Source organism: Homo sapiens, chromosome 15 (assembly GCF_000001405.40).
Source record: "Homo sapiens chromosome 15, GRCh38.p14 Primary Assembly".
Classification (NCBI taxonomy): Eukaryota; Metazoa; Chordata; class Mammalia; order Primates; family Hominidae; genus Homo; species Homo sapiens.
The window spans coordinates 74146757-74160389 of NC_000015.10; the positions used below are offsets into that span (position 1 = coordinate 74146757).

Below are 13633 nucleotides of genomic sequence, written 5' to 3' on the forward strand. Positions count from 1 at the left end.
ATTATGAGAGTGTTTTGAGAAAGTTGGTCAAAGCTTTGGCAGAAAAATGCCCAGGAAAGCCTCACCAGAGAGTCCTTCTCCACCACAATGCTCCTGCTCATTCCCCTCATCAAAGTGGGCAATTTGCAAGAGTTTCAATGGGAAATCATTAGCCATCCACCTTACAGTTCTGATTTGGCTCCTTTTGACTTCTTTTTGTTTCCTAACCTTAAGAAAAATATTTTAAAACACCCATTTTTCTTTAGTTAACAATATTTAAAAGATGGCATCGACATGGTTAAATTCCCAGGACCCTCTGTTCTTTAGAGGTGGACTAAATAGCTGGTATCATCAGTTACAAAAGTGTCTAGAACTTCGTGGTGCTTATGTTGAGACATAGAGTTTATATTTCTTATTTTTATCTTTTAATTCCATTTTTCCACAAATGGTTTGAAGTCTTGTCATATGCTCAGCTTTGGTAGATACTGCCAAACAGTTTTTCAACATGTACCAATTTACACTTGCACCAGCCGTGAGAGTCCTCATCAAACTCAGTATTATCTGTTTTTGGTTTTAGACATTCTGTTGGGTGTGTAGTGGTATTGCATTGTGTTTTTAATTGGCATTACCCTGACAATTAATTAAGTTGAATACTGTTGTTTCCTGTCCATTTGAAAATCCTCTTATGTAAACTGTCTTTCTCTCTTTTTCATTGGGTTGTCTTTTTCTTATTGATTTGTAGAAATTCTTCATATATTCTGGGTATGAGCTTTCTGTACAGAATGTCTTCCCTCTCTCTTCAGCTTCTCTTTTCACACTTTTTGTAGTGTCTTTTTATGAAGAGCTGTTTTTAGTTATAATGTGCTCCAATTTATCAATTTTTTCTTTATGGTTAGAACTCTTTAGGACCATATTTAAGAAATCTTTGCCCACCCTAAGATGATGAAAATATTCTCCTATGATTTCTTGTGAAAAACATTATGATTTTACCTTTTTTATTTCCATCTACAATGCATGTGGAAGTTACTTTTGTATAAGGAGTGAGGTGGGGCCAAGATTCATTTTTTTCCCATGTGAATATCCAGTTGACCTAACACCTTTTATTGAAAAGATTATCTTTTCCCCCACTGTAAGTAAGGCCTTAGCACCTTTGTCATCAGTGAGGTGACCATATATGTATGCATTGTTTTTCCCCTTGCAGTCCGGACTCGGCTTCTGTCATCACATCTCTTTGTCTGACTCTCTTTGCTGTGTCTCTCTTCCACTTTTAAGGATCCTAGTGATCACATTGAGTCCACCCAGATAAGCCAGGATAATTTCCCCATTTTAAAGCCAGCTGAATCACAACTTTAATTCTGTCTGAAGCCTGAATTCTCTTTTGCCATGTAACCTAACATATTCTCAGGTTTGGGGGATTTTTTTACCATTGATTTTTGAGAGTTCTTTATGTATTCTAGATACTAGAGAGTTCTTTATATATTCTTCTTTTCTTTTTTTTTCACTCTTGTTGCCCAGGCTGGAGTGCAATGGCATGATCTCAGCTCACTGCAACCTCCACCTCCCAGGTTCAAGGAATTCTGCCTCAGCCTCCCGAGTAGCTGGGATTACAGGTGCACGCCACCACGCCTGCCTAATTTTGTATTTTTAGTAGAGTTGGGGTTTCACCATATTGGTCGGGCTGATCTCAAACTTCTGACCTCAGGTGATCTGCCCGCTTCAGCCCCTACAGAGTGCTGGATTACAGGCATGAGTCACTGTGCCTGGCCAAGAGTTCTTTATACATTCTAGATACTAGTCCTTTGCTGGATATGTGATTTGCAAATGTTTTCTTCTATTCTGTAGCCTGTATTTTCATCCTCATCAGGGTCTTTCACAGAGGAAGACTTTTAAAAACTTTTTGATGAGGTCAAATTTATCAAGTTTTCCTTTTATGGATCATACATTTGATGTCGTCTAAGAACTCTTTGCCTAGTCCTAGATCCTGAAGATTTTCCCCTATGTTTTTGTCTGAAAACATAGTTATATGTTTTATAGTTGCACATATATAGTTTTATAGTTGCAAGTTATACTTTTTCAGTTAATTTTTGTATAAGGTGTGAGGTTTAGATGAACCCATTGTCTGTAGATGTCCAATGTTTCCAGCACCATTTGTTAAGACTATCCTTCCTTTGTTGAATTGCTATTGCACCTTTGTTAAAAAATCAGTTGGGCATGCTTGGGTGGGTCTATTTCTGGGTTTTCTATTCAATTCCATTGATTTTTGTATCTGTGCCTCCACCAATAACACACTGTGTTGATTATTGTAACCACATAGTAGGACTTAATATCAGGTAGAGTCGTTCCGCCTACTTTTTTTTTTTTTTTTTTGTAAGATTGTTTTAGTTATTCTAGGGGCTATGTCTTTCCATATAAATTTTAGAATAAGCAAATCTATGTTTACAAAAGAAAGACAAAGACATTGCATTAAACCCATAAACATTTTTACAATGTTGAACCTTTTAATCTGTGAGCACATGATATTGTCTCTCTACTTCTTTAGGTTGTCTTTGACTTTTTTAATCAGCATTTTGTAATTTTTAGCTTGCAGATCCTGTATGAATTTTATTATGTTTGGCCGGGCGCGGTGACTCACACCTGTAATCCCAGCACTTTGGGAGGCCGAGGCGGGCGGATCACGAGGTCAGGAGATCGAGACCATCCTGGCTAACATGGTGAAACCCCATCTCTACTAAAAATACAAAAAAAAAAAAAATAGCCGGGCGTGGTGGCGGGTGCCTTTAGTCGTAGCTACTCAGGAGGCTGAGGCAGGAGAATGGCATGAACCCGGGAGGCAGAGCTCGCAGTGAGCCGAGATTGCAACACTGCACTCCAGCCTGGGAGACAGAGCGACACTCTGTCTCAAAAAAAAAAAAAATTGTTATGTCCCAATTTCTTTGGGGGTGTTCATTATTAGTATATAAAAAGTGATGATTTTTGTGTTGATCTTTTTTTTTTTTTTTTTTTTTTTTTTTTTTGAAACGGAGTCTCGCTCTTTCGCCCAGGCTGGACTGCAGTGGCGCTGTCTTGGCTCACTGCAAGCTCCGCCTCCCGGGTTCAGGCCATTCTCCTGCCTCAGCCTCCCTAGTAGCTGGGACTACAGGCGCGCGCTACCACACCCGGCTAATTTTTTTTTTTGTATTTTTAGTAGAGACGGGGTTTCACCGTGTTAGCCAGGATGGTCTCGACCGCCTGACCTCGTGATCCACCCGCCTCGGCCTCCCAAAGTGCTGGGATTACAGGCGTGAGCCACTGCGCCTGGCCTTGTGTTGATCTTATATCTGCAACCTTGCTGAACTAACTATTGGTTTTAAGAATTTTTAGTATTTTCCTTGGGATTCTCTAGGTGAATTATTTTATTTTATTTTATTTTATTTTATTTTATTTTATTTTATTTTATTTTATTTGTTTTATTTTATTAGACACAGGGTCTCACTACGTTGAGACCAGGCTGGTCTCGAACTCCTGGGCTCAAGTTATCCTCCCACTTTTGCCTCCCAAAGTGCTGGGATTACAAGTGAGAGGCACCACACCAAGCAAGATGTTTTAAATGTTATTTTTATAACCAATCCTTATTTTTATTTATTCACATGATCATGTCTTCATTATCACTCCTAATGTTGTTTTTTATGTCTCCTCTCTTTTTTTCTGTTAAGATTCCCAAGCTGTGGTCTTTTCACAAAACACCTAGCTTTTATTTTTATTAATCAACTCTACATCTTTTTCTGTCTAGTTCATTAAATTTTTTTTTTTTTTTTTGAGACTAGTCTTGCTTGGTCACCCAGGCAGGAGTGCAGTGGCGCAATCATAGCTCACTGCAACCTCCACCTTCCAGGTTCAAGCGATTCTCCTGCCTCATTCGGCCTCCCAAGTACCTAGGATTACAGGTGTGCACCTCTACATCCAGCTAATTTTTGTATTTTTAGTAGAGTTGGGGTTTCACCCTGTTGGCCAGGCTGGTCTTGAACTCCTGACCTCAATTGATCCAATCGCCTCAGCCTCCCAAAGTGCTGAGATTATGGGTGTGAGCCACTGCATCCATCCTAGTTCATTAATCTCTGATTTTTATCTTTACCAGTATTTTTATTTCTACTTTCTTTGGATTTATTTATTTTTCTTTTTTCTAGCTTTTTGAGTTGAGACCTTAGTTAATTTTTTAAACATTTATTGCTTTTGGGTGAATCCATTGGTTATAGATCCCCTGCATATTGTTTTGGATGAATACTGCAAGTTTTACTATGTAATGTTTTAAGTGTTCTTGTAAAAGTTTGCATCTCAGTATGATGATGAAAAAGTTCTAGAGATGGATGGATGGATGATTAACTACAATATGAATGAATGTAATGCCACTGAACTGTACACTTAAAAGTGGTGAAAATGTTATGTTACGTATATTTTACCACAATGAAAAGTTTGTAATTCTTGTTTGAGTTATTTCTTTAACCCAATAATATTTATATACATATTTAAAACTTTTCAGGATCATTTTGTGGTTGCTGTTGCTGTTGCTCTTGTTTTATTTGACTATTCTTTTTTTTGTTTTGTTTTGTTTTTGTTGTTGTTGTTTTTGACGGAGTCTCGCTCTGTTGCTCAGGCTGGAGTGCAGTGGTGTGATTTTGGCTCACTGCAACCTCCGCCTCCTGGGTTCAAGCAATTCTCCTGCCTCAGCCTCCTAAGTAGCTGGGAGTACAGGAGCGTGCCACCTTGCCCAACTAATTTTTGTATTTCTAGTAGAGTCGGGGTTTCACTCTGTTGGCCAGGCTGATCTCGAACTCCTGACCTCATGATCCACCCGCCTCGGCCTCCCAAAGTGCTGGGATTACAGGCGTGAGCCACTGCACCTGGCCTATTCTTTTTTCAGCCCTAATTTTATTACATGTGACTTGTGAAGGTGTCATGTATGACTTCTGTTTTTTGAGTTTTATTGATTTCTTTTGTGAGCTAGTACATGTTTAATTTTTTTTTGAAAATTTTGTGTGTGCTTGAAGAGAATATGTATTTTCTTATTGGGTAAGATATTTTAGATTACTTTTAAGATCAAGTTCCTTAATTTTTATCAAACCATTCATATCCTTACTTATTTTCTATCTGACCTGTGGACTTCTGAGAGGTGTATTAGAAATCTCCTAATTTGATTTGAGATTTGTTTTCTCTTTATATTTCTGTCAAAGCTATATTAGTAGATGCATGAATGTTTGTGCCTATTATATCTTCTTGGTGAACTATCCTATGTTTTAATATGAGTAGCCTCCTTGTTCTTGTTCTTTTTATTGTGTTTTGCCTTGACTTTCTCTTTTTTCTTTTTTTTTTTGAGACAGGATCTCACTCTGTCACCCAGGCTGGAGTATAGTGGCATAATCTCAGCTCACTACAACCTCTGCCTCCCAGGCTCATTTGATCCTCCTGCCTCAACCTCTCAAGTAGTTAGAAGTACAGACATGCACCACCATGCCTGGCTAAATTTTGTTGCGGTTTTTGTAGAGATGAGGTTTCACCATGTTGTCCAGGCTGGTCTTGAACTCCCAGACTCAAGTGATCCTCCCGCCTCAGTCTCCCAAAGTGCTGGGATTACAGGCCTAAGCCACCACACCCGGTCCTGAATTTATTTTTCTAATATTAATATTCTCACTCCCACTTTCTTTTTAAAAATATATTCCTAATATATCTTTTTCTAGTGTTAGAATTCATTTTTAATTAATAATTCTCTAAGGTTTATAATGAGAAAACAGTCCCATACTTTATCTCTGATTCCAGTTCCTAGTGCTTTCCCTTCCACTTTGAACTTTTTCAGTTTTTTCTGCTGTTTCCTACCATATTAAAAAATAACATGCTTTCCTGTTATTTTTTCAATTTTATGTATCACCTATTGACTTCCTATGGAGGTTGAATAAATTCGTTCTTTCACAAAGACACAAACACACTCAACTTTCCTTTCATCCTTCCAATATGATTAAATTGCAACTTTTGCTGAAATGATTGTTCCAATGTTTACATTATAATAATTATGCAAACACAGTTCACAGCTGATCCATGTACTGAATTCTGTTTTTATTTCTTTTCTCATACAACCTTTCTTCTCCCGCGGTTGATAATTACCTTGTTTTTTGTTTTTTTGTTTTTTTATTTGTTATTTTCTTAGTTTCTATTACGATATCCTAAAATTTATTGCAGAAGTATAAATTTCCCCTCAATATGTTTTAAAAATTAGATATTTGATCAGTTTCTTTTTCTTTCTTGGAGACACTCCCAGAGCTCCCCATCCTTCTGCTCCCATCCTGGCTGCTGAAGGCCTGATGCACAGCTGTCATCCTGGGACTTCCGTGCACCATCATCCCTGTTTCCGGATCCTCTGTCTTCCTCTTCTTGGTTTATTCTCTCTTTTTGATGGAGCACATTCTCTAGAGAAGCAAGAGAGGATCTTGATCTTGTGAGGCCTAAAATTATGCAATTATACAGAATCACAAATGGAAAATTAGACATCAAAGAAATGTGGGAAAAGAAATCACAACAAACTGCAGTTTTTGAAAATGGTGACAATTACCACAAACCACAAAATCCAGGAAAGTAGTCGAACATTAAACTACATGACATTGCTTTATAATGATTTTCTCCTGAACTTTTAGTTGTATCTCTGAAGACCTTTGTATCAGTTGACCTTCAATCAAAAGCAGAAGCAGATCCTGCTAGAAGGATATGTTTCTCTCTCTCTCTCTCTCTCTCTCTCTCTCTCTCCCTCTCTTTAAATGGATTTGCTGTAGGGCTTCAACATTACACAATTGTGGAAGCTGACTAAGCATGCTTTGTAAGGCTGTTACCTTGCATCTGATGCTGGAGTTTGAAGTCTGCAGGGCAGGCAGGGTGGAAAGGAAGAGGGAAATAAAACTCCAGGGAGAGCAAGAACAAGCTAGAGTCCAAGAACATGAGGTGGAACCTATAAGGACAGAGCAGAACTGTCTCCAACCTTGATGATGTGGGTGTCTTGTGGGAGAAGCTGGTGCCCTGCCTCGCAGAGCTTAACACACACCTGGGCCAGGAGTCAGAGCAACTGAAAGAGGATCAGGAGAAGTTGGAGGAGGTACAAGCCCAGCTGCTGCCCCATGCCCAAGAGGTCAGCCAGCAGGTAAGCAACCAAATGGCTGCTGCCTGTCTTCCACCCTCTAAATCACCTTCAAAAATGTCTCTGTGGCTGGGCGCGGTGGCTCACGCTTGTAATCCCAGCACCTTGGGAGGCCGAGGAGGGCGGATTGCTTGAGGTCAGGAGTTTGAGACCAGCCTGGCCAACATGGCAAAACCCCGTCTCTGCTAAAAATACGAAAATCAGCCAGGCATGGTGATGCACACCTGTAGTCCCAGCTACTCAGGAGGCTGAGGCACGAGAATTGCTCGAACCTGGGAGGCGGAGGTTGCAGTGAGCCAAGATCAAGCCCTGCACTCGAGCCTGAGCCACAAGATGGGACTCCATCCCCAAAAAAAAAAAAAAAAAAAAAAAAAAGAAATATCGTGTGGCCACCCTACTTGGAAACATTCCAGAAAGGCAATTCTGAAAAAAACAGTTCAGCCTAGCCAAGTTAACATAGTACAAAGCCACTGTGCTTCTTCTTAATGGTAATGGTTTGTAATAATTTCCAGAAAGAAAAATAAAAAGACAATTCAGTATTTTCTTCAGTATGTTTGATCAAAATTTGTTTTTTATTATTGGTGATCTTGAAGTTATAATACTATTGCAGTTTTGTGTCCCACAGACATAGGGATTCTGATAAATTCGATTTCATGTGATTCTCACTCAAAAATAAAAAAAAAAAGTGCCCTGACAATTAATAGTTTTGCTGGACGTAGAATTCTAGGTTTGAAACTATTTTCCCTTAGAATGTTGAAGGTGTTGGTCTATTTTGCAATGTTGAATACATTATTGACAGGAGAGACTGCTGGCTTTGACTAAACGTTAATGAGAACTGAGTACTCTCCTCGCAAATTTCTATATCTAATGGGAAGGGTTTTCCCTAGCCAAGCTTTTTGGCTCTGTACATCTCAAAATTTGTTTTTTCTCTACTACCCAGCTGCTTCATTGCCAAATGCCTTAGAACAAGTTCATTTTTGTTTTGTTTTGTTTTTGAGACAAGGTCTTGCTCTGTTGTCCTGGCTGGAGTACAGTGACATGAACACAGCTGACTACAGCCTCGACCTCCCAGTCTCAAGCAATCCTCCTGCCTCAGCCTTCCAAGTAGCTAGGACTACAGGTGCACGCCACCACACCTACCTAATTTTTGTATTTTTTGTAGAGATGAGGTCTTACTATGTTGTTCAAGCTGGTTTCTTAACGCCTGGCCTCAAGTGATCCTCCCACCTTGGCCTCCCAAAGTGCTGGGATTATAGATGTGAGCCACCATGCCAGCCCAAGTTCATATTGTGATACATTTGACCCTGACCTTTCATGTCACAATGCCTGTGAGTCAGCCCAGTGGACAGCAAGAGTATTCCTAAATGGTCATTTTTACAATAGGACAACTACCACATGGAAGAGAACTGAGGCGCCCCAGTCAAGACAATTACTGACCCCCAGACATGCACGGGGGACATCCTGGAGTCTCCAGCTCTGGCTGAGCTGTCAGCTGACAGCAACCACATGAGTGCTCCCAACAAGATCAGCAGAAGAACCACACAGATACCAGCCTACAGGACTATGAAAAATGATCAATCATCTTCATCTTAAACCATTAAGTTTTAGAGTGGTTTGTCATGTAGCAATAGATAACTGAACACTTGTAAATCATCTAACTGGATTTTCAAAAACCCAATTTGAATGTCTTTCCTTTAATTTATAACAACTTATTCATAATTTCTTATACTTAATGATATGTTTGGGTTGATTCCTGACACTTTGAGTTTTCTATCGGCCATGCTTTTTTGCCTCCCACCCCCATTTGTGCCCTTTGTTAGATAGGTCAGGTTTTATTTATGGTATTTTTCTTCTTACAGTCAGGAAGTTATAAATCCTATTTCCATTCTTCGGGCTTTTCTATTCAAGAAACAAAGGAATATATCTGTTTCTTCATCTTTCTTTGGCGATTGGGTGTGCTTCGGGTTTAATTAGGTTGAATTTTACCCATCAGAAGGAAGCTACTGTTCGTGGCCTAGAAAACGATAAAGTATAGAGTAAGGCAATCAAAATCACCACAGGAAAGGAGCCCTGTGGGTCTGTCTGTGTGTGGATGTGTGAGCGGATGGTTATTAGAAAATGGTTGAGGAATGCAGCTCATCAGCTGAGGCTCGGTGCTCATCAGCCACCCATCTGACACTCATCAAAAGCATCGGTTGCTGGAGATTGACCAGGTGTCCGCAGCGGCCTGTTTCTTACCGTCTGCTTTGGCTTGGCCAAGGTTTAGGCAGCTTCTCTCTTTCCTCCAGGCTTCTGAGGTCTGCTTTCCTCCAAGCCTGAGCAAGCATAACAGAAAGTGGATTGTGACCCCTTATCAGCTCCTCCTGGGAATCGGCTGACCCTGTCTTTCCTAGGCACACTCCCGCCAGACCCCACCCCTTGTGTGGCCAGCTTCCCTTCCAAACGTTTGCTTACCTCTGCTTGTCCTCTCTTTACCCTGTGAAAGAAAAAGTTATTTCTGTTTGATTTTGAGACACTCACAGATTTCTGAGATGGGAGAGTTCTCCATATTGCAATCGTCTTTCTAATTAAAGCCTCTCCCTCCCTCTCTAATTCTGGATTTGTTTTTATTTGACAAAATATAGTCACCATTTTCTGGGGATGAAAACTTAGTCAATATCAGAAACCTGACTGCAGTCAGGAATAGAGCTCATTCACCTTTCTTCCCTAGAACTTAGACTGTGCTTGAGGCATAGTGGGTACTTCTTTATGTGTTTTATGAATGAATGAATGAATGAACGAACAGATGCTGAACTCAGGAGACAGAGAAGGAAGCTGGGAGAGCTGGTGTCTGGCCTCTGCTTGCTCCAGGAGCTATGTTCTCCCTGTTCACAGCTATAGCTGCCAGGGATTCTGGAAACACATCCTGCTGCCATGGAAATGAATGCAGTCACAGAGTGGGAACAGTTAAGTTACTTTTCTGAGAGAGTTACATCATTTAGAAGCAGATCTCTAAAAGTCCTTGCTCCTGCAGGAGTTGGTGACTGAGTGGCAGTAATTGTGTTCACATGGTTAACTATGACAGTGTCACATGAAGCTCAAATAATGGGTTGGAAACGCACAAATGATTGCTAGTTGCTTGAGCTCTCTGCTAGCCCTTGCCTTGCTCTCTCCATATTTACTTTCTCCAGCTTGCAACTGGATATACAGACGTGTCTCTGCAGCAGCCTGGCCCACCCTATTGACTGAGGCAGGAAGTTGATCTGCGGGTTGCAGCTGCTCTTGAGGAAGCTGAGTCTACTAAAATCTGTTCACCCTTTCCCTGACACTGCTGCTGAGGCCGGTCCCCATCCCCGGCAGCTTCGCTGGGCCTTGTTTATCTTTTCATCACTCTTGACTGGCTCTGGCCTATTTCTGGATCTCATGTCTGTCCTCTGACAAACCCTGCCTCTCTGCCAGCTTTCTGGAATCTGTCAATCTGAGAGGCATGGGAAAACGACATTGCCCAACAGAACCAGCATCTCAATGTGGCAAAAATAGACTCATCCAAAGCAATCTGGGCATACACTAATGTCCCCAGCACTGAACATCCCCAATCACTGGTTTCCCCCATCTGATTAATTTTTTCCCCATAGAGAGGTTTTGCAAACATTTATGCATCTTTAAGCATTTTAGTGATCTGATTTTCTTAATTTTGATGGATTTTTCTTTTTTTCTTTACCTAAAAATATCATTTGAATCCATTTTCAGCTGATTATTCCTTTTTTTCTGTTTGTAATAGCAACGAGCTAGAAACAAGGTAATTATCCAACAATAAAAGACATTTTCCCTCCACTTTGTGTGCTCTTTGATGCTCATGCTGCAGGCCGAGGGTCACTTATATCCTCCCACTGGCCTTATTGCTGGCTAACCCGTGACCCGGTAGCCTAGCCCTCTGTCTTTCCTGGGAATCTCTTCCAACCAGCTGACCTCTGCCTGGTCCTTCTTAGTTTGACAGAGCACCTGTTTGTTCCTAGGGTGCCGAATGGAGCACTGTCCTTCTCCTGGATAACTGATGACAAAGATGCATCCAACCTGCACACGCAACATGCTCCCTCTTCCATGAATGCCGGTTGCACCCGATGATCTGCGCCTGCTCACTCTACCTGCCTCCCTGCCCAGGGCAGAGAACTGAGGATGTTATGTTAGTGAAATCCTCAGATCACTCACAGCGCAGAACACTCCCCAACTTCTCTCCATCATGTGTCAGGCCCAGAAGCAGTTACAATCATTACAACATCACCTCCCACCTTTCCATCTACACGGTTGAACAGCTGTGCATTAGTCTAGAAAAGTCACCCTGAAAACTGGCTCTAGTTTGGGGAGGTGACATGCTCTTGCTTTGTCCCCAGAGATGTTCTTCTGTTGTCCTTGCAGTGCAGGGAGTACCTCCTGGGCTGTGTGCAGCAGCCCTGCCTGAGGTAGGGGAGTGCTGTTCACTAATATAGATCTGAATCTCACCAGTCTAGGAGGGGACAGGTACTTCTAAGTCAATCAATCAATCAATCAATCATCAGTCAATCAATCTTTCAAGTTTTCTCATCTTCCAAAAAGACACTAATGCCCAGTTGAAAGTGGTAGCCACTCAATTCACCTGGGCTTATCACACAAACAAACTCTCGTTATCATATTTTTTCCTTGATGCTGTATGAAACTGAGTGAAGTCACATTTCCTGATTCAGAAGTTGCAACTGAAATGGCCCAAGTGGGAACAAAAGGGGAAATTTTGATAACAGATGGGTTGACCCTTTATGGTATAGAGCTGATTCTGAGAACTACTCCAACAAGCATGCATTCTAAACTCTATCAAGCAATGTGTGGAATCACGGCAACAAAAACATGTTCTCCCTAGCTCTTAAGTATTTTTTATTTGGAAAATGGAGTTTCAAGTTGTTTTCCTGACTTCTATGAAGATTGTGATGAAATTGCAGAATATATAAAACAAAAGATTGTTGATATTGTGTTCAAATGCAAACTAGACTGCTCATCTATCTGCATATTTGGCAAATGGTGCAAATGTAAATATTGGAAAATTCCATTCAGTCTATAAACTTACCAAAGGAAATTTTAAAAATTTCCTGCTAAACGTCCTGACCCCTCTGTACCTTTTACATAACACTGCTAAAAAGAGGTATGATTTGCCTACTGTGACATTGACAGTTTCATAATGACATTTTTGGTTAGTTTTCAGTTTCCTCAAAGCATGCAGAGGCGCTTTATGAGATTTTTGATTTTTATGGGCGTGGTAGGAGATAGCCTTCTTAGACATGCCTACAAGATGTCTTGCAGAAAAGATGTTAGCATGTTGGCCTACTATAAAATCATATTTTCAAAGTGTAGGATGAGAAGAATGTCCTTCACTACTTTGGAAATACATTGAGGATGAGAACAGAGAAAAGGATTACTGTAAAATGGAAATTTATATGCCGTTTCTCCAAGACTGTTTCATAATCTTTAAAAAAGCTACAGAAAAGGATGAACTAAGTGCATCTAACTCGTTCCATTTAGGTGTAGGTTGTGACAAAAACTCATCTAGTGAACAAATGACTCATTTCTTGGAAATAAGACTGCTTTGAAACTTAAAAAATTATCACTAGGAAAGGACAGCCAAGTTAAACAGGATTTTCTCAATTTCTTTACTAAAACTGTAACTTATTTGGAATCCAGCTTCAATTTCACAAGTTCAAAGTACCTCCCTGCTTTGAAACCATTTTTTCCAGAGAAAAGAGGCTTACCTTATGATGACATCCAATGTGCTTTGAAGTGTTTTAGAATGACAGACATTTTAGACATCGATAGCCTGTGTGATTAATTTATTGAAGCAAAAGAACTGATTGACGAACAGCTGGCCTACCAAAACAAGCCCATAGATACAGGGGATGGACATTTATGGAGAGGTGGAAATTAACTCCTACAAGTCTAAAAACCTGCTGTTGCTAGTAAATAAAAGCCTAGGTACTCCATGCCCTCACACAGTATTGTTGAGAAGCTATTTAGCATTGTGTTATCACATCAGACTGACACTAGAAATCAGTGTAATGTGGGCTTGAGAAGAGCAGAGCCGCAGGCCAAAGTGAATGTTATACTTATCTCCATTCAGTTTTATCATTGCATAAAAGAAAGGATGGGTGTCATAAATGCCACAGGCAATTCAGAGAACTATTATTAAGACAGGAAGCTGAAAGAATAAAAGGCATCTTACTGTAGCATGGGACAGAAGGAAACTGACATTAAGGCATCTTACTTTAGCATGGGACAGGAGGAAACTGACATTTTTAAAAAATCAAATATATGAAATACCTGTTTCATCATTCCTATTCTATTTTCATTTTCCTTTTTAATTTTTTGCCTTCCTTTTTTTTATTCTTTTCCAACTTTTAAGTTTAGGGGTTCATGTGCAGGATGTTCAGGTTTGTTACACAGGTAAACGTTTGTCATGGTGGTTTGCTGCACTGATCATCCCATCATCTCAGTATTAAGCCA

At 40.3% G+C, this 13633-nt stretch overlaps 1 long non-coding RNA gene across 2 annotated transcripts; it reads right to left on the minus strand.

Moving 5' to 3' along the window:
- Window positions 1–6042: 6042 nt before the first annotated feature.
- On the minus strand, window positions 6043–9608 carry LOC124903523 (uncharacterized). 2 transcript variants are annotated; one of them, XR_007064708.1, is made up of 2 exons: window positions 9371–9608; window positions 6043–6449 (listed from the first exon to the last, which is right to left on the minus strand). It is a non-coding gene; the product is annotated as an uncharacterized LOC124903523 (long non-coding RNA). The 2 variants fall into 2 exon arrangements; XR_007064707.1 differs by lacking the exon at window positions 9371–9608 and adding an exon at window positions 8273–8316.
- Between the last annotated feature and the right edge of the window lie 4025 nt (window positions 9609–13633).